This window comes from Homo sapiens, chromosome X (assembly GCF_000001405.40).
Source record: "Homo sapiens chromosome X, GRCh38.p14 Primary Assembly".
NCBI lineage: Eukaryota > Metazoa > Chordata > Mammalia > Primates > Hominidae > Homo > Homo sapiens.
The window spans coordinates 14836889-14863198 of NC_000023.11; the positions used below are offsets into that span (position 1 = coordinate 14836889).

General features: G+C 35.4%; 1 protein-coding gene across 14 annotated transcripts in view; it reads right to left on the bottom strand.

Annotated features, from left to right (window-relative positions):
* The window catches only part of FANCB (FA complementation group B), a 183546-nt gene that overhangs the window by 147365 nt on the left and 9871 nt on the right, over positions 1–26310 (bottom strand). For 9 of the 14 annotated variants that reach the window (XR_007068184.1, XR_001755674.2, XR_001755672.2 and 6 more), the window contains 7 exons: positions 22294–22446; positions 20974–21066; positions 16151–16279; positions 13617–13786; positions 7968–8398; positions 7615–7852; positions 6772–7093 (listed from right to left, as the gene is read on the bottom strand). Coding sequence is in view for 10 of the 14 variants with exons in the window: in NM_001410764.1 (NP_001397693.1) it covers positions 6772–7093; positions 7615–7852; positions 7968–8398; positions 13617–13786; positions 16151–16279; positions 20974–21066; positions 22294–22446 (1536 nt within the window). In the remaining 4 variants the exon portion in view is untranslated. Of the gene's footprint in view, positions 1–6516; positions 7094–7614; positions 7853–7967; positions 8399–13616; positions 13787–16150; positions 16280–20973; positions 21067–22293; positions 22447–26310 lie in introns of those variants that run through there. The other 5 variants (NM_001324162.2, NM_152633.4, NM_001018113.3 and 2 more) reach the window with 1 other exon arrangement.

A 26310-nucleotide genomic window follows, 5' to 3' on the forward strand; every position in this document is an offset into this window, starting at 1 on the left:
CTTTGTATTAATTACCTCAATGTCACCTACAACTCTCTGCCACTGTCTCTTCCATTAAGACTGCAAGCTTTCTGAAAACCAACAAGAGTCTTAAATTTATCTGGCACCTAGATGTGCATGAGAATGTGTTCAATGAAACCTCTATAGACACATGATTGAATAAAAGATCTCTATATTCCCTTCTACTTTGTACACTATTGATAATTTGCAAGAGGTGAAATGTTTTCTATAGGCATATCATTTGGAATGATTAGATCAGGCAAAAGGTACAAATAGAAAACAGAATTCTACCTCCTTTTCTTCTCAAGTGCTGTAGTACTCATAGCGAATAAAGATGTAAGTTTTCCTGGCTAGACACCTTGCACCTTTCCCTGGAATCCCAAGCCCTCAACTGCAGCGATCACCAGCCACTGACAAACACTTCAGAGATTCTCAGGGCCTAGACATGTTTCAAAGAGAAACTACATAAAGGGCTATTTAGAGAACTGACACTTTCATTTTAAAAGTCCCTAAAACATGAACCAGCAATGGTAATGCAATAATTCTGGAGACTGGTGGTTCTAACAAAGAAAACTGAGAGGAAATAGGGAACAGGCACACAGGTATTTAGACATAATTGGAGGGAAGTAGTCAAGAGATAAAACTCAGCTGGGGCCATCAACCAACTCTAATAACTTGCTCATTACAGGATTTAGGATGATGTGGCCCACATTCTCCCTGACAATTCAATTATATTAACAGATTTATACTTTTATAGAATTGTGTATTATGTGCAACTTTTCCTTTTCAACAATAAATGCATTTTGGTAATATAAAACTGTCAAGACATGATAGTGTTTTATTACAAACTGACTTTATACACAGAATAGCATAGTGGTGAAAGAGCAAAGGTTCTGTAGCTGGACTGGATGATTAGAATCCTGGCTCTGTTCCTTACCCCTTACCAGCTATGTGACTTTGGATATATTATTTAACCTGTCTCAGTCTCAGTTTCTTTATCGATAAACAGAGTTAGTTAATAGTATACATCTTATAACATCATTGCCTAATATAACTTTCTGTGATTTTGGAAATGTTCTCTGCAGTGATCAAATGGTAGCCACTAGCCTTATGTGACTGAACAGCTTAAATGTGACTAGGATCAACTAAGGAACTGAATGTATAACCTTATTCTATTTTAATTGATTTAAACATAAATAGTCCTATATGACTCATAGCTACTATCCTGGGAAGCACAGTTTTATAGGGTTGTAAGGATCACATGGGCTACACATTCAGATCAGTGTCTGGCACACAATAATCAATAAATATTCACTATTTATATTATCCACCATGCCATAGAAAATTGGTATGCAAGTGTGGGCTATAATTTTAACACTTTTCCTAAATCTTGTGGATAATTCTTTTTCCTACTATTTATATTTACTGGCTAATTCCCCTTCCAGCTGGCACTGGCTTCAGGAAACACCTGACTAGCCTACACACCAAGCCCTATCCACCATTCCTGGGCATAACACATGTGCTGCATGTTGAGTTTTTCTTAAGATTTTGCAGACTATTAAGAACACATTTGGTCCTGGTCTCCTTCAGATTCTACCACCACCATCACCCCTGACCCCCATCACACCCCCAATGTTTTTACTACTTTTACCAGAATCTTTCAAGTATTAAAGCATATTGATTTCCTATTGGGATAATTTGTAAGATGATTTGATTATTGTACTTGACATAACCAAATTGAGTCATTCTAAATCTTAAAACATCTCATCAGGCTTACAAAAAAACCTACTAAAATTATCATCACCTTGTTTTTTAATGAGGTTAGAATGAAGTTAGAAAGTTTGTCTTTTGATTCCTAGTATATACTAAAAGGCAACCACTCATGTTTTAGTACATATGTTATCATTGGAAAGGTTATAAGCTCTAATTAATAATAACGTGCATCTCTTTTTATATAGCAATACTATTGTATTTCCTAAACAGTCCCATGACATTAAATCAGTTGTTTCTAGCAGAAAGATTCCTAGAACAATATAAATTGATAAAGATTTCCTTCTCTTCCTACTGGAGAGGATATAGCTGAGAATATGAGAATGGCTGTCAGGAGAAATGAGAACTGAGGCTGGGCACAGTGGCTCATGCCTGTAATCCCAGCACTTTGGGAGGAGGTCGAGGAGGGCGGATCACCTGAGGTCAGGAGTTCAAGATGAGCCTGGCCAACATGGTGAAACCCCATCTCTACTAAAAATACAAAACTTAGGCGGCCATAGTGACATGCACCTGTAGTCCCGGCTACTTGGGAAGCTAAGGCAGGAGAATCACTTGAACCCAGAAAGCGGAGGCTGCAGAGCTGAGATCACGCCACTGCACTCTAGCCTGGGCAAGAGAATAAGACCCTGTCTCAAAAACAAAAACAACAACAACAACAACAAAAAAAACGGAAAGAAAGAAAGAAATGAGAACTGAAAGTCTGAATTCAGATATCTAAGAAACACACTAGACAGATATGGCCCTTACATTTATAATTTTATATTCTAAAATATGAAATATTGAGAAACAAGTTAAATAATCTGACATATCCCTCTACCCAATGAGGATGGCATAATAAATCAACTGGCCTCATGTAATACCAGAGAGAAGCTAAGGAATAAAGAAAAGAAGATAAAAAAATAATTAAAGCATCTATTTTCAGGTATATACTACTATCAAGTGTATAATAAATTGAATTATAAACTCAAAAAGGAAAAAAAGCAAGCCACTGCCCAGAAATAAAAGGGGCATATGGGGGTGGTGAGTGGATGGTTCTTTACTACTCTTTTAAAGGTAAAAGCATCCTGTTTTGTAATAAACTGTTTCTATCCTGGGATTCCCCTTGCTTTATTCTCTGGCATTCTTTTTCCCATTTTTAACAGTTAGAAACAATTTTAACTACAAGTAATGGAAACCTTGAGTTCTGTTACAAGGGATTTTTTTTTTTTTTGAGACAGAGTCTCACTCTGTCACCCAGGCTGGAGTGCAGTGCAGTGGCGCGATCTCGGCTCACTGCAACCGCCGCCTCCAGGGTTCAAGCGATTCTCCTGCCTTAGCCTCCCAAGTAGCTGGGACTACAGGCATGTGCCACCACACCTGGCTAATTTTTAATTTTTAGTACAGACAAGGTTTCACCATGTTGGCCAGGCTGGTCTCGAACTCCTGACCTCAGGTGATCGGCCCACCTCAGCCTCCCCCAGAGTGCTGGGATTACAGGCGTGAGCCACTGCTCCCGGCCAAGGAATTTTTTTTTTAGTAATTGGCAGTCCAGGAAAAGGGTGAGATTTAGATTTGATTCTGAGGTACAACAATAAAAAATTTGCATTCCACTGTGTCAATTTCATTCTAAGGCTTGATTGCCTTGTGATTATAAGGTAACTCTCAACTTTTTAAATAAGGGCCACCTACTTCCAGCCTGACAGTCTTTTCCTCACCAAAGAACCAAGCCCTTCCCCTCAGTCTGATTAGACCCAATTTAGGTCTTGTGTCCACCCCAGACCAATAACAGCTGCCAGGGAAAGGTCTTGCACTAACTGGCTTAGATTAGTCAGGATTAACCTCTGGAACTAGGGATGAGATTCACCTCCCCAATCACATGAACTATGGGAAAGGAAGTTCCCTGGACAAAACGAGAGTTTCAGTAAGAAAAAAAGTGAAATAGATGTGGAAAAGGTAATCAATAGACTGCACTTCTTTCTCACTCCTGACTGACCTGCTATCTAGTGTTAAATATTTTGACTGATTACTAATAGCATGCTTTACTGACCATAGCACTGCTTGTACATTTAGTGGTAAGTGGCTGCTGCTGTGGGGAAATGAATAATTTAAGTTAAGGATGCTACAGAAACTTTCTAGCTGAACCTAAGGCCATTATGAGCCAGAGTTATGCACACAGGTACGGTTGTCCAGCATAGTTGCTCACAGGTGTAGCAAAGCAAAAAATCTGAATAGTCAAAGCATGGTAGGTGTCTAATTTACTGCCCTTACTAAAGTTCAGGACCTGAATAGTGTGACACCCTACTGAATAAAAAGGCAAGGCAGGATCATTGAAATAAGGCCCTAGAAAGTGACCAGACCATTAGCATTGCAAAGATATTCATCATAGTAGGATCTTACAGGACAGGGCTATTTTGTTGAGGCAGTAAAGCAATGCAAGTAACCAATATAGAAAGTCCAAAAATGGAAAACAACAAACCCTTGAAGAATTAAGAATAGTGTTTATGTATCAGTATTCTTTCCATTGCACCACACTGTCTTTAGCAGAAGCCTAAAATTCTTCAGATGGCTTACACATGAAAGATCTTTCACTCCCAAATTCTTAGAATGGAAAGTAACATCTTTGTAATTTAGAAGACAAGGAAGAAAATGGAATCCTCTCAATTTCTGATATTGTCCAAGTTTTAGGCAAAAAGGAAAAAGAAAGAAAGGAAAAAGAAAGCAAAGTTTTACACAGGTTTCTAGCCAAGAGAGTTGAAGTTTTTGTTTCTACTGGGGAGAGCAGGTAGAGATGTATGTTAATAACACCTTTTCCTTTCTAACACTAGAAACAATTGAGTAGTCAATTCTACATGGTATAAAGAGATGCTCTGAGGACAATAGGAGAGTCACTTGTGTACTATTAGAATTCTTGAAGGGTCTACAGTTTTTGAAATAATTTGCAACAAGAGTACAGGATCAAGGTGTTTTCATGCATCTCCTTAGCTACATTCCAAAACAAAATTCATTTTCAATTTGGCAGAGTGGATTTGGGAGGACTGTGTTTTTGAGGGGAGTCTCAGAGTCGTGACCAGGGCAGTGGTCAATAACATATGCTTGTAGATGCAAAGACACAACTGAATCATGAAAGTGGCAAGAGTGTCATTTCTTCAACTTCGGCTTTTCTAGTTTGTAGTAAGTTAAAAAAAATACTGGAGTACAAAATTCACTTGTAAGTTATTTGGCATATCTGTATCTTTTGGTTGCATTGGTAATTTAAAAATAAGCAATATGCTATTTTTAGTATCTTAACTTCCCTACACATAAACTATTACAATTAAATCCTGTTTAGTTTTTTTTTTCCTAAGCAACTCTACTAAAATGACTGTTTAGTTTTTTCACCATCTCTACTTTACAATTTACTTCCTGTATTTTATATTTGGTTGTTCTTTCAGAACATGTCATGGGCAGTTTCAACAGATAGCACATGACACATATTCTTTCCAGATTTCTACGATTAATCCTGAATTTATTCCATTTCCATATGCAGAAAGTCTGAAATATTTTCCATTGACATTTCATAGGGATAGAGCTGTAGAGTTCTATCTCAATTTGCAATGGATTACTAGGAAAGGAGGTCCCTTATTATATGGACCATCATAAAAACCAAGACAAGAAACTAATAACCTATATTCTCTAAAAACCATGTGCATCACAAGATCATTAGGTATAAGCATTTCTAAGGCATGAGAGAATTAGCACTTCACAGCCACAAGCACGAGATGCCACATTCTATAATCATCTTTATTTCTCTCAACTGAGATGGAAACCTGCATCTCACTTAAGGATTTTAGAGCAAAAAGGATCAGGAATATTTATTTTGGCCCATATCCTTTTGCGTCTTTTTCTTTCTCCTGACGTTCTCTTATTAATCCAGCATTCTTATTTTTCAAAGAAAAGACTAGCTTGAATTTTTATCCCTTTGAAATGTATCTCACTGGACCCCTTATAAATCACTTCTTAACTGAAGTGAATTTTCATTTATTTTTAAATTTCTCAGTCCCTAAGGAGTGCCATATTCTTTATGTTACTTTAGTTAGAATTTTAAATTTTAATTTTGCCTAGAGTTGGAATTTCAGATAGCTTAAAAGCGTTTTCATTTTTTTTCTTTAAACAGTGGCCTGTAAGGTATACTTAGCCTTTTGAAAGAGAGATGCTTTTCTGAAAAATGCCTTACAATTTTCACATTCTTATAGACTTACATAATTTCAGGGCAGCTTTGTAACAACATTCAAATTGACAAGGGTTTCAAAACCTTTCATTTTAATGGTCTCGCCCAGACAATCTGCCATTTAAATTTCTGTAGGAGAAATACTGATATTTACAGAAACTTGTGGATCCTGACAACCTTGCTTAATTTATCTATTTGAAGTTGATTTTTACATGCTAGGTTTTACTAAGCAGAAAGCAAGAAAAAAATGAAGTTTTTAAAAGATTTAGACCAAAATACTATTATGCCATTTCGGTCTTCACTTAAGTAACTCTAAGACGGGATTTCTCAACCTCTGCATTACTGACATTTTGGGCTGGATAATTCTTTGTTGTAGGGGGCTGTCTTGTGCATAGTAGGATGTTTAGCAGCATCTCTGGTCTCCTCTATCCACTAGATGCCCATAGCACCCCTGCCTCACCCCTTCCTGACCCCACAACTTCTGACAACCAAAAAAAAATATCTCCAGACATAGCCAAATGCCCCTTGGGGTAGAGGAGAGGGAGATAAAATGGCCCTAGTTGAGAACCACTGCTGTTTATTTTGTGCATCATCAAAACTAAAGTTTCTACTACAGTAAGCCTCGGTGTTTATTTTTACAAAGGAGGCATATAGCAAGTAGAACCAAAATCTTATATGGTGGTGAAAACATATTTTAAAATATGATCAAATTGAAATTATAATTATAAATTACTCAGTTTCTGTGCAGCAAAGTCTGATTTCAACTGAACCTCAGCTACTTTCAAAGTTATTTCTCTGTAAAGGGCACCACTCACTTTTAGGTTCGTTTGCAACATTTTCTTCTTTTCTCTCTGAAGTTCTTTTCTGTAGGGATGGATATTTTCCCTTCTGTCTGATAAAGCAGCCGCGACGACACTACTCTTTCCTTTGCTCACTTCACACCTCTGCATAAAATTGCTTTCATGTTTAGCTATGGCAGAAGAAAGAGAACTAAGGGTGACTAGTTCCTTCTCCAAAGTAAATGCCATATTATCAATTAGGAAATTCTCACTTCCTGATTTTAGATTTTTGAGGAAACAGTTTATAGGGAGAATTCTGATGAGATTATGAAGGCACTGGAACATAACTGTTTGATTCCTAAAATAAAAAAACAAACAAAATATTACAAAAATTAGGACAGCACAAAGCAGTCATGTACAATATACTGCAGTAATCAATTAATATTCATTTATAAACACCATAATGATAAACAGAACCAATTATGTACGTGAGCATTGATAAAATTCAGACTACAGCAATCAAATATACATATTCCATATCGAATCAGTTAATATTAATCAGATTGTTTCCAATTAAAATTTTTTTTGCTGAGTAATAAGGTCAATATAATATTTTTTTAAATTTTACTGTGGAGGAGAGGTAACGGGAAATCTCAAAATAATTACTAGGCACTAAAAAAAGCCAAAAACAAATATAAAATTAAAACAGAGATCTTCAGTTTCTAAATGAAGCCGATGCGTTCATTCATGCTAGGCCATGGCTCTGTATTATTGCCATGGCAATAATACAAAACACATGCGGATCGCTGTTGAACCACACATTGATCACACTCATACACACTCACTTCTCTGGACCAATTACAATTTAATATGCATTACCTGGAATAGATTATTAAAATCCCTTCGAATGGTGTTCTCTGTTTCCAAGTGAAGAGTGTCCCATAGAAACTTCCCGGTCTTTCACAAAAGTACACTTCTGGAAATTCTTTGATTATTTCACATTTCATATGTTCTAAGAGCCACACCTTCATTGAATTCAGGGCATAGCCGGGTGATGTGATTTGAAAACAAGATTTATGGAATGCTGCAAGAAGTGCAAAAAGATCTTCCATGTGCTCTACAAAAAAAGTCACAAGCTCTATCATTAAACTCTGCCCATTATCAGATAAACAGAATTCTTAAAATTTTCTAATTCAATTAAATATATAATCTAAAAGTGCCAACAAAATTACCTATAGGTTTCTTCTTTGGAAATGTCAGTAGGTACTTCCCAGTTGAAAGATCTTCTAGACTTAAAAAAACTCTGCCACACACAACATAACGATCTTTAGGACAGTTACCACTTTCTCTCTCCATAATTTGTAGCAGTACAGTGCAACAAAATTTACTGAATGTTAAAAGTGGTGAAAGAGATGTTACAGCAGTAATTATCTGTACACACTCTTTCTTAGATGGGTGTTCACAAACAAAGCTTTCCTCTTTCTTGCTATCAGGGGTCAACGTGACCCTTTTTGCTTCCAATCCTATTTCACATGGCATCAAGTATGGTGCTGGGAAAGGATTTGTACTCAACTTAATCACCCTATTTTGACACTTTAGAAGCCGAAATCTGGAGTCATGGGCTTGATCCATTAACAATGATAAAGTCACATCATTCAGGGACCTGTAAAAAACCCAGACTTTGGTTTAATCTAAAAGCTCATTCTTTAAAATCAAATTGATGATTAAATGTCATACAAACAACAGTAAAAAATGTTTATTCTTTCCTTTCCTAGAAAACATCATTTCAAATGTAAAATATATCAAAAAGTTAAGAGTAAAAGCCAAACACATTTTTAAAGGTCCTGTGATAGCACTTCTCAAAAGGCAAGCAAAAACACTGTAACTATGCTAGGTTTTAGGAAAGTAAAATTTTTAAGATAGAGGAATGGTATTAGGAATGATAGTAAGAGAAATTAAAGTAAGACAAAAATTTTTTTAAGATAAAGGAATGGCAAAATAATGCCAGGATTTTATCTTTCAGGTTGGTCTTTTTTTTCTCCTCTTTTTAAACAAGAAAAAACCTCCTCATTATTTTTTAAGAGTTTATTTTGGTGATACGTTAGAATGCAAACAGCTCTAAACTAAAAATTGTATTTTTCGTTCCTCTAAACGACTTGAATAAAATCTTTTTCAGTCAGAATATTGTTCATCCCTCAGCAATTCTTTCCATATCTACATTTATAATAATTTACAAATATATACAGGCTTACTGTAGCACATTCCAGCATTGTCAAAGTTTATCAAGTAAAACAGGTAAGAATGGTGACATGACCAAAGAAAGAACTTGAATGTAGAAATTTAATACTGAAAACTCCTTTAATACAGGAATTTGACCATATGTCTAATGAGTTACACTAAAGATTTAAAAAGAACTCAAAAATCTTAATTTGCACTAATTGAACTATTGTTTTGTTGGGAATGCTGTTTTATGAACACTACATATATACTGTAGAGTAATTATGTAGTAGGTGCAACAGAGAATTGGGATTATCAATAGCGGAGACAGAAGATACAGAAAGAAGATACATCATGATGTTAAGTAAAAACCTTGAAGTTTTTACATCATGGTGATAAGTAAAAACCTGAAGTCCTTAATCTGAATTGGACGTATCAGCATGGACTTACCAAAACCACAACAGACCAAACTAACAAAACACATATTTCCTACCTCTGCTTACTAAAAAGGCCCAGAAACAACAACCCACTGAGGATAAATAAGCACCTCTTGCACTCAAATTCTGATTTCTAAATTACAAACTATACTTGAGGGTCTAACTAAATAATTGATGAGAAGAGGTTTCTCTTTATAGAAGTATTCCAGCTAATAAATAAAGAAGCAGTAATAGAATTAGAATACCACCATGTTATAAAATCTAATGAAACAATGGAACTAAGTAATGAGCATCAATAGCTGCTAATATCACAAAATGAAACTGATCACACTTTACATACCTCCCAGTGGAAGAAAACAATACTATTAAGTATTCTGTTAACAAAAATTCAGGCATTATTCTGACCCAGTCTCTAGATCTAACCATCAATTTAGAGGAAATACAGGAGACAGAGAAACATGTTAAGCAATATCACAGGAAGTAATCAGCAAAATCCAGTCTATAGAACTTCACAGGGTAAACTGCCTGGCTTCTATAAAATATACTTTGCATGAAAAAAAAAAAAGACAGAAAAAGGATACCTACAGATTACAAAGGACTTAGAGATAACAGTCAAGTCCAATTTACAGTCCTTATCTGGCTCACGATTTGAAAAAATATTTTTAAATTCAGAAATGGGAAATTTGACCATTTACTGGGGGAATTACTGATAATTTTGGGGGGGTAATTATATAAGTTCTTATTTTTTAGATACATACACTGGAATTGTTACAGATGAAATAATATAATGCCTTTGAGTGCTTCAAAATAATCTGGGGGATGGGGGTGAGGAGTGCATGGAGGTATAGATGAAACAAGATTAGCAATGAGTTGATAATTACTGGAGCAGAGTGACGGGCAGAAGAGTTCACCACACTATTCTCCTTGTATGTTTCAAATGTTCTATATATAAAAACATTTTTAAGTAATTCTATTTAGCATATGAAAAAAAGAAAAGACAGAAAATAGAGAATAAAAAATTACCAGGCAGATCTAAAAAAGAAAGAATAAAATTTATGATAATACAAATAATAATAAAACTTAGAAACTCAATGACTGGATTAAATAGCTGACTAGAAAGAACTGAAGATAAAATTAGTGAAAAGAATATAGATCAGAAGAAATTATCCAGGTGAATAGAAAATATGAAAGAGATGTTGAGACATAGAGTATGGAATGAGAAGATCTAACAGAGGACTAACTGAAGTTCCAGAAGGAGACAGATACTAGAGAAAGTAAGGAAGCATCAGTATCTTGAGAATTAAGAACTAAGAATTGTTTGAATTGCCAGAAGAAAACAAAACAGTTTGAGGAAGCTCAACAATCTAAAGGAGGAAAAAAAAAAAAAGAAATCTGCACTTAATCATGTCATTGTCAAATATTTAGAAAAAGAATAACAGAATACATCCAAATAAAGTAAAAGGAAATAATAAGGGATCAGAAATGAACAGGGAATACACAATTGAAGATCAACAAAAAATTTAATTATTTGAAAAGATCTAATAAAATGGATGAAACTCTGGCAAGATCAAGGAAAAAGAAGACACAAATAAGATTTGGAATAAAAAGACACTGACAAACACTAACAACACAGTGATAAATATCTAAAGAGGATCTTAGGAACAACTTATGCTAATAAATGTAATAATTAATAGAAAAATATAAGCAAAATGTATTCAAGAATAAATAAAAATGTGAATAATCCTGTAACTATTAAAGAAATTGAATCAGTAGTTAAAAGTCACCTCACAAAGAAATGCCAGATTTCTACTGCATTCCAGGCGACTACAACCAAATATCAAAGAGTAGGTAATTGTAGGGAGACCCCCTGAAACTATTGCTATGGAATAAAAGATGAAATGCTCCTGATTATTGTAAATACAAAATTGCATGCAGGATTGCATAAAGACAATGCCAGGTTGGACTGCCAGAACGAGCCAACAGCGCGTGATGTGCTTCCCCCTCCAGAGAGCCTATGAATGGACGTGCAGTCAGGGAGGTTTCACATCACCAAGATTCCTATCCCAGAAAAGCAGATGTTCATAGCTCTGGGAATGGAATGCGACCCTTGTAGAGAGCCTATAAATGGACGCACAGGGGGCGCCTGTCCATATGGATAAGATAGGGCTATAAACACCCTCATCTTGCCACGGCTCTTCTAGGCCTCTTTAGGGTTAAGGCATACTCCCTTCTGAGAATTTCTGGTCTAACCGGTTGTCTAGCTTCACGTCCTGTTTCCATGGATTGTTAGTAACCAGCTTTTGTTGCAATTGTTACTGCTGATTAATATCTTGCTAATCATAGGTTATCGAAAGATTGTGTTTCTGTTTTAAGGCTCTGTTAGAAATTACTGACACACACACTATATTGTAAATTCTTATCTCTGTATACTGTACTTCTACATACAAAAATGTACTGTACTTCTACATACAAATGTTATGTTAAAGAATTACTTCATCCCCACGTGACCATCTCACCTCATAATCAAACGACCCTAAATCCCTCACTAACCTACCCCCGCCCTCACTAACCTTAATAATAAATGCTGGTATATCCAGTGCATTGTTGGCAGTGTGGGACCAGAAAGCAGTGACCCCCCCGGACCCAGCTTTCACTATCTTGTGTGTGTGTGTTATTTCTCAACCTGCCGATCTGCCTAGGAACAAAGAGAGAGCCCCGTTGCATTGCGGGCTGCTGGCCAGATCCCGCAATAGGTAATTCCAAATTTACACAAACTGCTCCAGAGAACAGGAAAAAAGGAAATATTCCTCAATTCATTTATAAACTAGTATAGCCTTGATACTAAAATCAGGCAAGTATCATTCAAGAAAATTTCAAGCCAATTTCACTCATGAATTTAGATGCAAATATTCTTGACCAAAGGATAGCAAACCAAATCCAGTGACAAACTGTTTATCACAAGAATGCAAGACTGATTTTATAAGACAAAATTGATTAATATAGAGTACCACATTAAAGAAGAGAGAAGAAAAACCCAGATGATCAACCAGCCCAAAACAGCTTAGAAATTCACTGAAACAAAACAATAAATCCATATCTCAAACCCACTAGATAAGTAGTCTGGCTCCCTTACTGTGTTAAGCTGCTCAAATATACTGCCATCACCTATTACAAGGCACTACCTGGTTTCTCTGCGTACCCGTGGTTCAAATTCAATGTAGTTACTGTAATGCCTGTATTTAGCCTGTTTTGGCTAAAAAGCTCTTTGTTAGACTGCAGATATAGATGGCATGCACAATACTTCTCTATCCATGATTTCAACATCCCAAAAGAGAATATCGTCTGTTATCAGAGGGAGAGATACTTTGTTATTTAACGAAATTTTTACCTATTCACTTTGGTCAATAGTCTCTAAGTATCCCTAATACCTCTAAATATTTTGATTAGAAAGTTCTGTATGCTGTTTGATTATCTTCACCGTGAGACTATAGCATCTTAATTTCATAAACCTCATCCTCTTCATATTATTAACTCAATGCATTTGTGTAAAAGAGATACTTCTAGAGCTGTGCTGGCCAAGAGAGTAGCTATTAGATACATGTGGCTATTAAGCACTAGAAATGTGGCTAGTTGGAATTGTGATGTGTTATACATGTAAAATACACACCAAATTTTTAAAACTTTGTATGAAAAAATAAATGCAAAATATCTTATTAATAATTTTTATACTAATTACATGTTAAAATAATGTTTTGGATATATTGGGTTAAATAAAACATATCATTAAAATGGCCAGGCATGGTGGCTCATGCCTGTAGTCCCAGCATTTTGGGAGGCCAAGGTGGGTGGATCACTTGAGGTCAGGAGTTTGAGACCAACCTGGCCAACACGGCAAAACTCCGTGTCTACTAAAAATACAAAAACTAGCCGGGCATGATGGTGCGTGCCTGTAATCCCAGCTACTGGGGATGCTGAGGCATAAGAATTGCTTGATCCCAGGAGGTGGAGGTTGCAGTGAGCCGAGATCATCCCACTGCACTCCATCCTGGGCAACAGAGTGAGACTCTGTCTCAAAAAAAACAGTAATAATAATTTCCCTTGCTTCTATTTACATTTTTAAATATGGCCTCTAGAACATTTAAAATTGCACGTGGCTTACATTAATTTCTATTGGACAGTACTGTTCTGGAGCATCAAGACAGTGTTATCATGTTGGAATTTACTTACAGCTTCAAAGAAGATGTAGTTTTCACTCCAACAACCAAGCTATCATCTATTACACGATACCATATCTTCTCTACTAGCTGTTCTGAATCTTGAAAATTGTCTGATAACTTTTCATCTAAGATATGGACAGAATTTTCTTCTTCACCACAAAGAGGAACAAGACATTCCTTCTAAAAAAAAAAGTTTAAATAACTGATTATAAAATACGTACCGTCTGTAGCAAAACTAAAAAAAAAAAAAAGTTAAGTGTGCTTTTGGCTAGGGCTTATGGCCCAAACATTTAAAAACAAATAACATATCATATTATAGATTATACACAATTTACTAAAATGAAATGTATAAAATATATAAAATTCCCTATCTATTCAGATCAAGAGGCATGGCATGACTGGGGTATGGCAAGATGGGGTATCCAACAAAGAGCCAAAAGGGAGGTAAACCTGGAGTCCATTTTGAAAAAAAAAAGTCTGATAATATGTACCCCAGTTATACTGAAAATAATCCAGTCTGTATTTTATCAGTGACTTGCACTAAGCCTATAACTGTAAACTTTTGTATGAATAAAACTGATTAAACTATCTTTAGACTACTTATAGCTTATTGCTAAAATTTTATTCTTAAAGTCCAAGCCATATTCATTTCCACACACATGTGGATATATAACATTCGAAAGAGTAGTAATAAGAATAATAGTAACGATAATAATAATATACAACATCTATTGAGTGTTTACTTTATGCCAGGCACTGTTCCAAATGCCATTTGTGTATCAATTCATTTAACCCACACAATAACCCTAGTGCCCTAGGTCTGTGGTATTATCATCTACATTTTACAGATTAGAAAAATGAGGTACAGGGAAGTTATGTAACTTGCCCAGGGTCACACAGTTAGCAAGTAGCAAGGCTGGGATTTGAACTGAAGCCAACTCGTTCCAGAGCCCATGCTCTTCCTTAACTATTACCCTATACTGCCTCTCCATGTGGTAATTACTAAAGATAGAGGCATTCACTCAATAGGAGACTAAATATGTTCCCAGGAATCTGACACTACTGCCAGTAGCTGCGAGTTCTGAAGCAGGCTATTCATCTGAAACCTGGGGAAATTTTTACTACCTGCCGCCAGGTTTGCTTTTAAAACTAACAATGTAAAGAGCCAAAAATGGGGCCTTGCACATAGTGGTTTCAATATATTAATTTCTAAACAACCCTTCCCCTTTCTAAAATTGGCAAAATCATTGAGGTGAGGAAAGGAAATGGTGAAACAATTTTAACAATGACTTTCATGAGGTTTCCCAGGAAATTAGAACAGTAATATAGAAATGCAACACAATGTTTTTTTGTTACGTTTTATTACATTAACAAGATCATATTTTGGACCCAAACCCTTACATGGCTAAGACTGAAATACAAACACAAAGCATAGCCCATGACAAGAATGGTCAATCCAGAAGGAAGTCAGAGCTAGGCACTACAGTGACTTGAGGGAATAAAATGCAACATTAGTTCAGCTCTTACTGATTTACTATAGTGTTGCTGTGCTGTGCCTTTCTCTGTATGAAATTAATGTGCATAAATATTATTTTTATGAAGTTTCAGCAGTTTTTGCTAACTTCCTACATTAATGTACTGACATAAGTTACCACATAAGAGACCCAAGGAGGTTCTTTTTTTTTTTTTTTGAGACGGAGTTTCGCTCTTGTCACCCAGGCTGGAGTGCAATGGCGCGATCTCAGCTCACTGCAACCTCCGCCTCCCAGGTTCAAGTTATTCTCCTACCTCAACCTCCCAAGTAGCTGGGATTACAGGCACGAGCCACCATGCCCAGCTAATTTTTGTATTTTTAGTAGAGACAGGGTCTCACCATGTTGGCCAGGACTGTCTCAATCTCTTGACCTCGTGATCCGCCCGTCTCGGCCTCCCAAAGTGCTGGGATTACAGGCATGAGCCACCACGCCCGGCCCTGAGGAGGATCTTATGATGATCAGCCACAAGGAAAAAGAGAGTAAAATTATGAAAAGCAGATAGAAGGACTAAAAAAACCCATAGCAGTGTAGGAACATTTGCTAGAGGAAAAAATAACCTTAGAAACAAACAATCCAACAGACTAAAAGAACAATCATTATCCTAATAATAAAATTATCTCATCACCAATACAAAGTTAAATAATACTCAGTATATTCTATTTAAGTCAGTAAATACATAATTCACTTATGAGTAATTTCTATCCAAACAATACAAATAAAAAAGTTTAATGGTTAAATCTGTAAACAAAAGGACTTGTTCCCCAAGGTTCCTGATAACTGAAATTTTAATATGCTACAGAATTACCTATAAATTGATAAAATATTGGCTCCTTAATCAAATATTTTTCAATGTCATAAAAGTCCACCATTATAACCTCTGCTACTTTTCTTCTTGATCCACTGAGCAGCATTTTCTAATATATTCTAATATTCCAATTTAAATAACTTTTCAATAGCTTATAGATTTTCAATTCATAAAATGATAAAATGGTCACATGATTACTTTTACCTCCTCTGCACTTGACGTATTATCATCTTTTCCTTGAACTAGGTTTATTAAAGCTTTGTAAGATTTTGAAATAATTTTTTCCTTAAGCAACAGATGCTGCCGTAATTCCCGAAAAGAAGAAAAACAAACCTGTAAAGTAGAAAGAAAAATAGTGGCAAGAAACATGATTTCAAATGAAACCAGACATACCAATAATTCAGGAAATACTTTCTCCAAATGTGCTTATCAATTCATTTTTCTATAGAAAATAAAATACTTCTCAGAGCAAAACAGTTTTGTTTATAGATTTTAAGTCTCTAAGTTTAAAAAATGTATCTTCTTTCAAAAGAAAATATAAAAAATAACTGCAACATAGAGCTTATGTATCAAATTGAGAGAGTGGCAATATATTAGCATGTTTCACTAGTGAGTTATTAAGTAACTTCGAATCAATGTAAATAAAAATCAAGGCCTACAAATACACTCACCCCACACAAAATAACTTTTTCTTTTTGAAATAGTTTCTGCTTCAAAAACAAGGCATCCACATAAGCAAAGACAGCATAATGAATAGAAAATATCACTTTTAATCAGATACTGCTCGAAATTTTCTGTTCATGTAACCTTCATAGCAAAATTTTTAAATAAAATTAAAATTATAACAGCCCCCAAACTATGTTTATTTTTGTGCTAATAAACTCAGTGCTAGAGTCTACTGAAAACTACTGAAAAAAATAACAATTTGGCTCTGAACTGGGCATACAGCAATCCATTCCTTTTATGATACCAGATAACTAGATTTCAGCACTAAGGATAAAACATTCACAGAATATAGTTTGCTACTGAAAATTTAAAGAGTCATGTCATTGAACTGATAGAAGTTGTTTCATTTCAGGTGGATATCTGAGGCTGTTTAAGTATTCATCTGGCTTTTAATAAAACATATTTTTCTAGATTTATGCAACAAAATGCATCATTATTTGGGATTCTTTTCTTTTAAATTACATTTCAAAGCAAGTAAATTCTTTTTATTTTAATCAACAAATAGAAACTGGAGAGTGAAGACTGAATTATTCCTATATGTTACCTTATTGCACAAAGTATGTAAAGTGTCTAGCTAATATTTTAAAACTTCTTATGTTGACCTAGTTCTGTGGGATGCACATGATTCACACTCCATCACTCAGTAATTCGTGACAGGGGGAGGCAGATGTACCCATCAAAGGTATGTAGCCACAACTGAGCTACTGGAGGGGTGGGGAGTAGAAGAAAAAACTATGTGGGCAGATTGAAATGCACCCTCGAAAATTGTCAGTGTTCACTCTTCCTTCCTCCTTAACATGCCCCTTACTCCAGGACAATATAGTGATTGAGTAGAGTAGTTAAATAATCTTGGCTGTGAAGTTTTGCTATAAAACTACAAAAATAAATTAGACACATGGTAAGAAATTTAAACAATGTGAAAGTACACCTCACCTTCTCTTCCTAGATGCCCAATCCCGTTTGCAAAACCAATAGATTGTGTACCTTCCCAGAACTTTTCCATGTGCATATTAAGGAATGCTTTTTCCTTTGCACAAACAAAAACCCACCCAAAACCAAATACAGGAGCATATCGTACTGCACGACACTGAACCTTGCTTTTTTGTTCATTATTGTGATCTCTATCATACGTGCAGAAGAATGCACAGTACAAAATAACATTTTACAGACTAATAATGAAGCCGACACCCATGTAATTCCACTCAAATCAAAAAGTAGCATTCCAGGAGCTGCCCAGGGGCCCTCCACAATCATAATTGCCCTTTCTCCCCTGGAGTCAATACTACCCTGGCCTTTTAAGATAATTTCCTTGCCTGTCTTCAAATTTTACAACCTTTGTATGAATTCTTAAGGAGTATTTTAAGTTTTTTGTGTGTTTTGCTTCTGAACCTTTTATAAATGGAATCACTCTGCATGTATCAGGCTTTAGAGTTGCCCATGTTATCACTAGTAGCTGTAGTTCATTCCTTCCGTTGCTTTACAGTATTCCATCATATGACTACCCACGATTTACTTCTCCACTCTCCAATTGATGGGTATTTGGGTTATGCTCAGTTGTGCAGTGTTATAAACAATGCTGCTATGAACATCTGTGTACATGTGTACAAGATTCTCTAAGGTCCTGGTCTCCCCATCTCCCCTTCCAGTAACTGATTAGAATACAAATTTCAGGGGAGAAAGAACAGTGAAATGGACTCTAGTTCTAGCTCTGCAAGTCACGTAACCTTTCTGGCTATTTGTTACGTCATGTGCAAAATGGTGCAAAGGTAGGCTTGTTCATCTCTAAAAGGCCTTCCAGCATTTAGAACTTTATTACCTACATTGAAAGCTACTGTTAAAATATGGATACTTGAAACAAAATGGATATTCAACTATCTCTTATCCACCACCTCCATTCCTCCCTTCCTTCCCTTAATGTTGTTTAAAGCCTTTCATATTTTCCCTGTCTCTGTGCTACATTTTGGATAATTTTTCTCATATATTCGGGGTCACTAATTTGCTCTGTATCTCTTTCATCTCTTTAACTCTTAAAGTCATCTATTGAGTTTTTTATTTCAGTGTGTTTTTGCTTGAAAGAGATGCTGTTTGGTTATTTTCTGTGAATAATTACTCACGATGCCTTTTTTCTTTATGTGCTTAGTTATTCTGTGGACAGCTCATTTTCTTTGAAAAATTACTTGTGAGATTTATGAGGGCTAGGATGAATGTGTGTTTCCAGACAGGATTTTCTGTTTGTTTCTGTCAGATGCCTGGGGCACCACCAATTTAAGTTCAATACACATGCTCCCAGGGCAAAAGTAGCATCAGTGTTCTCCTTATCTCTCTGGGTTCCAGCCTTGAAAGTTTGATTTGATAATTTATTCTTAGAGTGTCAGCTTTTTGAAGCTTCTAAGAATGTTTTTAAAGGAGACTTCATCTATCATTTTCAGTTTTAATCAGGAGAGTTGGTCCTGCTTCATAAATTAAGCCTTTCATAAAGTCATGCTTTCATAAATTAAAGTACTTTGGCATCATTTCTAAATCAGTATAAAAATATACACTATTCTTTTTGACAGCTACATAGTATTCCATAGTTCAGGCACATCACAATTTACTTATCATACTCCTAATGATGTATGTTTAGATTTGGACCAATATTGTAGTTTATAAATACTACATAAACATTCTTGTAAAATCATCTTCATCCTTAGAAGAGATTTCTAGAAGTGAAACTGCAAGAGTAAAAAGACATAAGTAATTCATATTTTAGCAACTATAATAACTTTTCCTCTGAGAAGGTTGGGTCACTCACTATACATTCACAAAAATACTATAGAAGAATGTACTTTTATATTAAGAAAATTAATATTTTGTCAGGTATTACAATTTCTTTTTTCACAATTTGTCTTATTACATTTACTTTGTTCAGGGTACAAAAATTTTGAATAGATCAATGTCTTCATTCATGGTTCTGTCTGTTATGATGTTTATCTATTGTTCAAATTCATGTCTAATATGTGTTCAATAAGCATTTATTAAAGTGAACTCACTCTAATAATGAAATAGTTGCAAAATAATTTTAAAACAACCTGCAAAGTATAAATATTTACCACCTGGCCCTTTCCAGAAAAAGTTTTCCAACCCTAGGCAAAGAAGAAAAAGTTCAATAACACAGCAAGAAAAGAGACAAATCCAAAAGAGAGGATACAACTAGCGTGGCCTCCTCTTTAGCATAATTTTTAAAAGGGGGAAGGGGGAATTATTCTACATAAAAAGACCAATAAGAGATATAATCAAATGCGAGTAAAAACTTTGATAGATTGGATCCTGGAAAAAACAGTTATAAAAACATTTTTGTGATAACTAAATATATTTGAATATGGACAAGATAGCAAATAAGATTAAGGGATCATTAACAATTTTCTAACTTTGATAATGGTATTATAGTTGCATGAGGAGAATATCCTTATTTTTAGGAGATTCCTGCTGAAATACCTATGAGTGAAATATAACATGTGCAACTTTTAAATGGTTCTACAAAAATATATACACACATACACACACAAACACAAACACATGAGGCCAATAAGATTTTTAAAAGTAACAAGAATTGAATGTATTGGGGATACAGAGATAATCACTGTATTCCTGGAATGTTTCTGTATATTTGAAAATGCTATAAACAAAAAAGGCAGCTTACAAAAGAACATACATCTTATAATCACATTTCTATGTAATGCGTATATTCATTTAAAAATCTGCAAGAATATACAGGGCAAAGTGTTAAAATTGGTTATTGCAAAATAGTGGAATCACAGACAATCATTAGGTTTTTTTTATTTTGTTTTGTTTTGACATTTCTTTGCAAAGCCTCAGTATTTTACAGGGAATGTTCATTACCTTGGTACATTTGGGAAAAAAAATAAAAACTCTTTTGTGGAGCTTTTTATGGAAAATATGAGAGTAAACTGTTCATGTCTGGAATGCATTATGATTTATCATATTCGCTGCTACTCTAAAAAGATACTGTGGTATACTGATCCCAGAAAGAATGTGTTTTCAAAAGTGAGCTGCTTCTATTTTGTCTCATGAGGCTTATTAAATCTATATAGTCTTACTACAAAAAAGGTATGTTTAGATGATACATTTATAAGTAGTATCATAATATTTGTACAGAGGTGCCAAAAAGATAAAGATCCTTTGAAATACCATTTTTACCCAAGCACCAAGTTGCTTATACTTTAAGGACCTTTCTTTCAATGTTCTTTCCTTCATTTAGAATAACACTAATCGAAAAGCAAAAGAAGCAAACAGACACTAACTTTCAGTCCTGTTTCTAGAGGTGGAACCACCAGGTAACGATTCTCTTGTTTGTCTTCAAATAAGTCATCTTCATTGCAATCTGATGGTTCACTCTAATAAATAAATAAATAAATAAATACACTAAGACTGAAATTTTGCAACAATTGAAAATTCACAAAACTAACAAAATACAATTAAAGTATATCCAGTCAGAACAGTTTCCCTAGTGTGTATAAAATACACACTATTTTATAAAAGGCAAACTATAGGCCAGATGCAGTGGCTCACGCCTGTAATCCCAGCACTTTGGGAGGCCAAGGTGGGCAGATCACCTGAGGTCAGGAGTTCCAGACCAGCCTGCCCACAACATGGTGAAACCCTGTCTCTACTAAAAATACAAAAAATTAGCCAGGCATAGTGGCGCGCACCTGTAATCCCAGCTACTTGGGAGGCTGAGGCAGGAGAATCGTTTGAACCCAGGGGGCGGAGGTTGCAGTGAGCTGACATTGCACCACTGCACTCCAGCCTGGGCATGACAGAGCAAGACTCTGTCTCCAAAAAAAAAAAAATAAACAAAGGCAAACTATATATTTTCCCCATCATCTTCTTGTAACTAGAAAAAAATTATTATGATTCCTACTACTACCACCTAACATTTATATACTGCTTTACAAAGTATCAGCTGGTTAGCTTTCTTTTTAAAGAGTAAACATTTTTCCATTTATTTATTTAAGAGACAGTGTCTTGCTCTGACACCCAGGTTGAAGTGCAACATAATAATCATAGCTCACTGCAGCCTTGAATTCCTGGGCTCTCATTAGCTTTTTAAAAAATCCTAAAATCCCATAACTGGAGAAAATTAAAATTATGCTAATTTTACAAATGAAAAAACTGAGGCTTAGAGAGATTTTGTATTGATCTGAAACTTCAGGGGCATAATTTCCCTTATGTCCAATATCTCAAGATATTGTGAGCTGTTACTTCCTTTACTAAAGCAATTTTGCTTCATTTTATTCCTTATTTAATCCAATATTATATTTATTGGTATAAAATGTGATTTTCAGAAGCAAAAATAAAGTTAATTTATAGTACTGCTGTCACTTAAGTGACCACCAAATGTACTACAATTCAAATTTATATCAAAAGCATGGTCAATTTGTATAACATTTGTTGAAAGGAGATTCAATGTATATATTTAAAAGATTCAATCTATATATTTTTAAAGTTCAAAATTTTAAGTATAAAACCACCAATATTTAAATGATAGGTCAAAGCTTTTGAGCACTTAAATTTTCTAAAATGGTTCTTAAAATACCATATAATAAGTAAATAGAACTTACCGAATAGTTTATTTTTCCAAGATCCGTTATTTTAAATGAAGTCAGGCAGTCTGAGTTCAAGGAGTCCTTAAAAAGTAGGAGTACTTGTTCAGTTCCACTTCCAATAAAGTCATCTATCAGTACTAAGCTAAGTTTTTCCCATTTAGCAGCAACCTAAAAGAAAGGGAGCATTATAGGAGGAGTAGACAAGAAAAAATCGAATGTGAAATAAATAAATTAAGTCCTTTTGTTTCATGTAGTTGTCATTTGTAAAACTCAATCTTATAAATGAGTAATGAAAATAGTAAAAACTAAAATAAAATAAAGATATTAGGGGATGAGGAAATATAAGAGTTATAAAAACTTTATAAATAGCAAGGTACTTAGATTTAATATTTTATTCAGGTTTGTCCAGGGACTGTCACATTCTTGATTTCTATATCAAAATTTTATTGTAATCTATTTATAAGTTCTAACACTTTTCATGACTAACCTTTGGAAATTCTAACATTTATCATGAGTCAAACTCTAGTGAAGATTCCTTCTCTCGCACAGCTAATTTAAGGATGACCTTCATTCCCATTAAGTCTTAGTGTATATGTATTTATGATCAGACAAATTACCCAAGGAATTCAGTTGCATTCTGTTGCATACCTGACAGCTGCAGTACTGTCAGGTAACCAGACAGTACTAGTAGACACCTTAAGAGCTCTTAATGGAAAATAACCTATAATAGAGTCAAGATGAGCTTAAAACCTTAAACCCTGATGTGGGTGTGGAGGGGAATACAGCTAGTATCGGGTACACAGGTGAGGGGTCCTAAAAGTGGGACAGCCAGAACCATCCTAGCCTCACGGAATGATTTGGTCAGTTTATATCAGAACCTGAGACCTCAAGTTTAAAATAGAGGACAACTTCTTAATGGTACATATAGCTGAAAGCCTCAAGATTGGTCCCAGGGTAAACTAACACCATGAGGATCAAATCCCCCTTTTCCCTGAGACAAAAAATCTAAAACCCCTTCTCAGAATTCCAGCAGCACAGATACATCATCTAGATGATACAGGAAGGTAGCTCACATTAGAGCAAGAATGAAAGTAAGGCTCTTCAACCCACATACCCAAATATGAATCTTCCCCTATAAGGCTAATTGCCAAAGTTGATTCTTCACTTGTGCAGAGAGACAGCTTTTCTGTAAACCCATATCCTCCCTTTCTCCCACCAGTATCATGGAGTATAATGGACTATGGGAAAAGACATTAGTAATAAGAATGTGTTTGGCAGGCAAACAGCACAGAACTATGTATGTATGCATGTGTACACACACATATTTGCAATCTATAGCTCTAGAATAGTGCCATCCAATAGAAAGGTAAGTGAGCCCCAAATATAAGGCATATAATTTTAAATTTTCTGGTAGCAGTAAAAAGATGAAATTTTAATATATCTAACACAATATATCTAAAATATTGTCATTTTAATTCAATGTAATCATTAAAAAATTAAGAGATGTTACCATTTCTATTCATCTTTGAAATTTGATGGTTGACATTTACAACATGTTTTAATTCAGACTAGCCACATTTCAAAAGTTGAATAACTACATCTGGATAGTAGCTACCATATCAGACAGCACAGCACCAGAATACATTAACCTCTATCAACAACACACCAATAGCTATGCTTCAGGTATACTTGACAATGACCTCAATTTTATTGACAGATGGATTTTTTTTTTTTGAGACAGGGTCCCATTCCGTTGCCCTGGCTGGAGTGCAGTGGCACAATTACAGCTCACTACAGCCTTGAACTCCTGGGCTCTAACAATCTTCCCACCTCGGCCTCCCAAGTAGCTGGGACTACAGGCATATGCCACCACGCCCAGCTAATTTTTTAATTTTTTGTACAGATGGGGGTCTCACTATGTTGCCCAGGCCGGTCTCAAACTCTAGGTCTCAAGCAATTCTCCTACCTTGGCCTCCCAAAGCACTGGGATTACAAACGTGGGCCACTACACCCGGCCAATGACCTCAATTTTGAAATGCCTGCCACATAGATTCTTGTCAAAACTTGCAGAGACAATTCCTACCCAAGAGAGAAAGCCTAAGAAGAAAAAAGTTAATCATGTATTCCTTTAGATTCAGCTCTGTTTCAAGTCCTATTACCACATTAAACATCATGCCTCGGGCTTTTATGAAGTGTTGATCTGGGAAAACACTAACCTTGTTTTCATTATTTACTCTAATTTATGCTTGTTTGTATTTTACCTATCTTTGTAAGCTGGCTTAATTCCTTCTTGGAATGAGGTAATAAAAGAATAGATGGATGGATGGATCCATAGCCAACCCAAAGGAAAACTGCTTCTATTGCTTTCTATTTTGGGGGAAAACTGCTATCAAAGACCCACCTTATTATTTAATAAGGTATTCACCTTATTACTCAAAACCTTTTACAAAATACCACAAACAGTAAATTCTTCTCAGAACTTAATGTTAGAAAAAAATCTTTTCCCTTGTAGTATGTTCCCTTCAGTTGTAAAACCCATCATATTTACTTTTTTGCCTTAACTGTTAAAACTAAAGGTAATTGTTCAAGTGTAGTTACTTCTCTTAACCTGAGTTTTTGGCATAATTATTTCTACTCCCACTTTATTTCTAGATTCTTAGCTCTTATTTCTGTTTTTTTAAATTAATTTTTTTTTTTGCAGACAGATCTTGCTCTGTCAACCAGCTGGAGTGCAGCGGGGCGATCTCAGCTCACTGCAACCTCCACCTCCCAGGTTCAAGCCATTCTCATGCCTCAGCCTCCTGAGTAGCTGGGACTACAGGCATGCGCCATGTTGGCCAAGCTGCTCTTGAACTCCTGGCTTCAAGTGATCTGCCTGCCTCGGCAGTCTGAAATGCTGGGATTACAGGCATGAGCCATTGTGCCCAGCCTTATTTCTGTTTTTAAAGTAACTGAATATTTTACCCTAAACTAATATTTCCCTTTTTTTTTTTTAAGAAGTTGAGTATAAATGTAACACCAAGATAGAAGCAGGACCTGAATACGCCCAAAGTGGCAGGGTTAGAGGCAACTTTGAAGCACTTACTTGTAGATATCAGGGTGAATTCCAGAGCTTTTAAAACAGGGCATTTGAGAGCAGGTTAGAAGTACAGAATTCCTGAAGCACCTTAGGGGGTAAGTCAGTAGGGACTTAGGTAAGTAACGTGTGGAAAAGATAGTGGTCCATTGTAGAGAGAGTGCACTAGAATACAACTTCGGGTCAGGGAAGCAGCAATTATAGGTCCACCTACAGGGAATGATGCAGTCTCCTGCCTTGGGTAACATGTTAGTGGCAAAGCTTTACAGGGTCCAAGCAGGGGACCCACTTCAAGAGAGTGACGATTGCAATTAATGACACATAAAGGAATTGTTTTTTCCTTATCTAGGTGAATAGGGGATCTTGAGTAAGTGTAAGTAACTGATGACAGCCCTGGCTTTTGTCTAACAGTAATATAACAGAGTAATAGCTACTACTAACTGAGTTCCTCCTATGTGTCAAGCTCTGTGCAAGACACTTTACAATGTCATTTGACTTAATTCTCCCCTCTCAGAGTCAGAATGATCCCAAATTTCATAAAGGAGGAAAATGAGTTCACAAGAATTACATTCCTTAAGGTAACACTGGTAAGTGGCTCAGTTGGGATTCAAACCCAGGGTACGTGTGTTCTTTCTATTATATTACCTTGACTACAGTAAAACACTATAGGGTATACCAGATGTTTTTCCCCTACCATTTCTTTAAAGGAAAAGAGAATGGAAAAAGACAATTCCAAATAACTTTCAAATAAATGTATAATGCGCTTTTAAAAGATTGCTTTCAAGATAAAATAGGATAGCTTTCAAATTATTTTCCTTTTGCATTCTCTATGTATTATAGAGGATACATACGTATTACAGAAATTCAAAATAATCCCTATTAATATAAAAGTACTTGGTAAGGCAAAGCCTGATTCATAATTCCAACTTGACATTCCTCCCCCCACACAAACAATA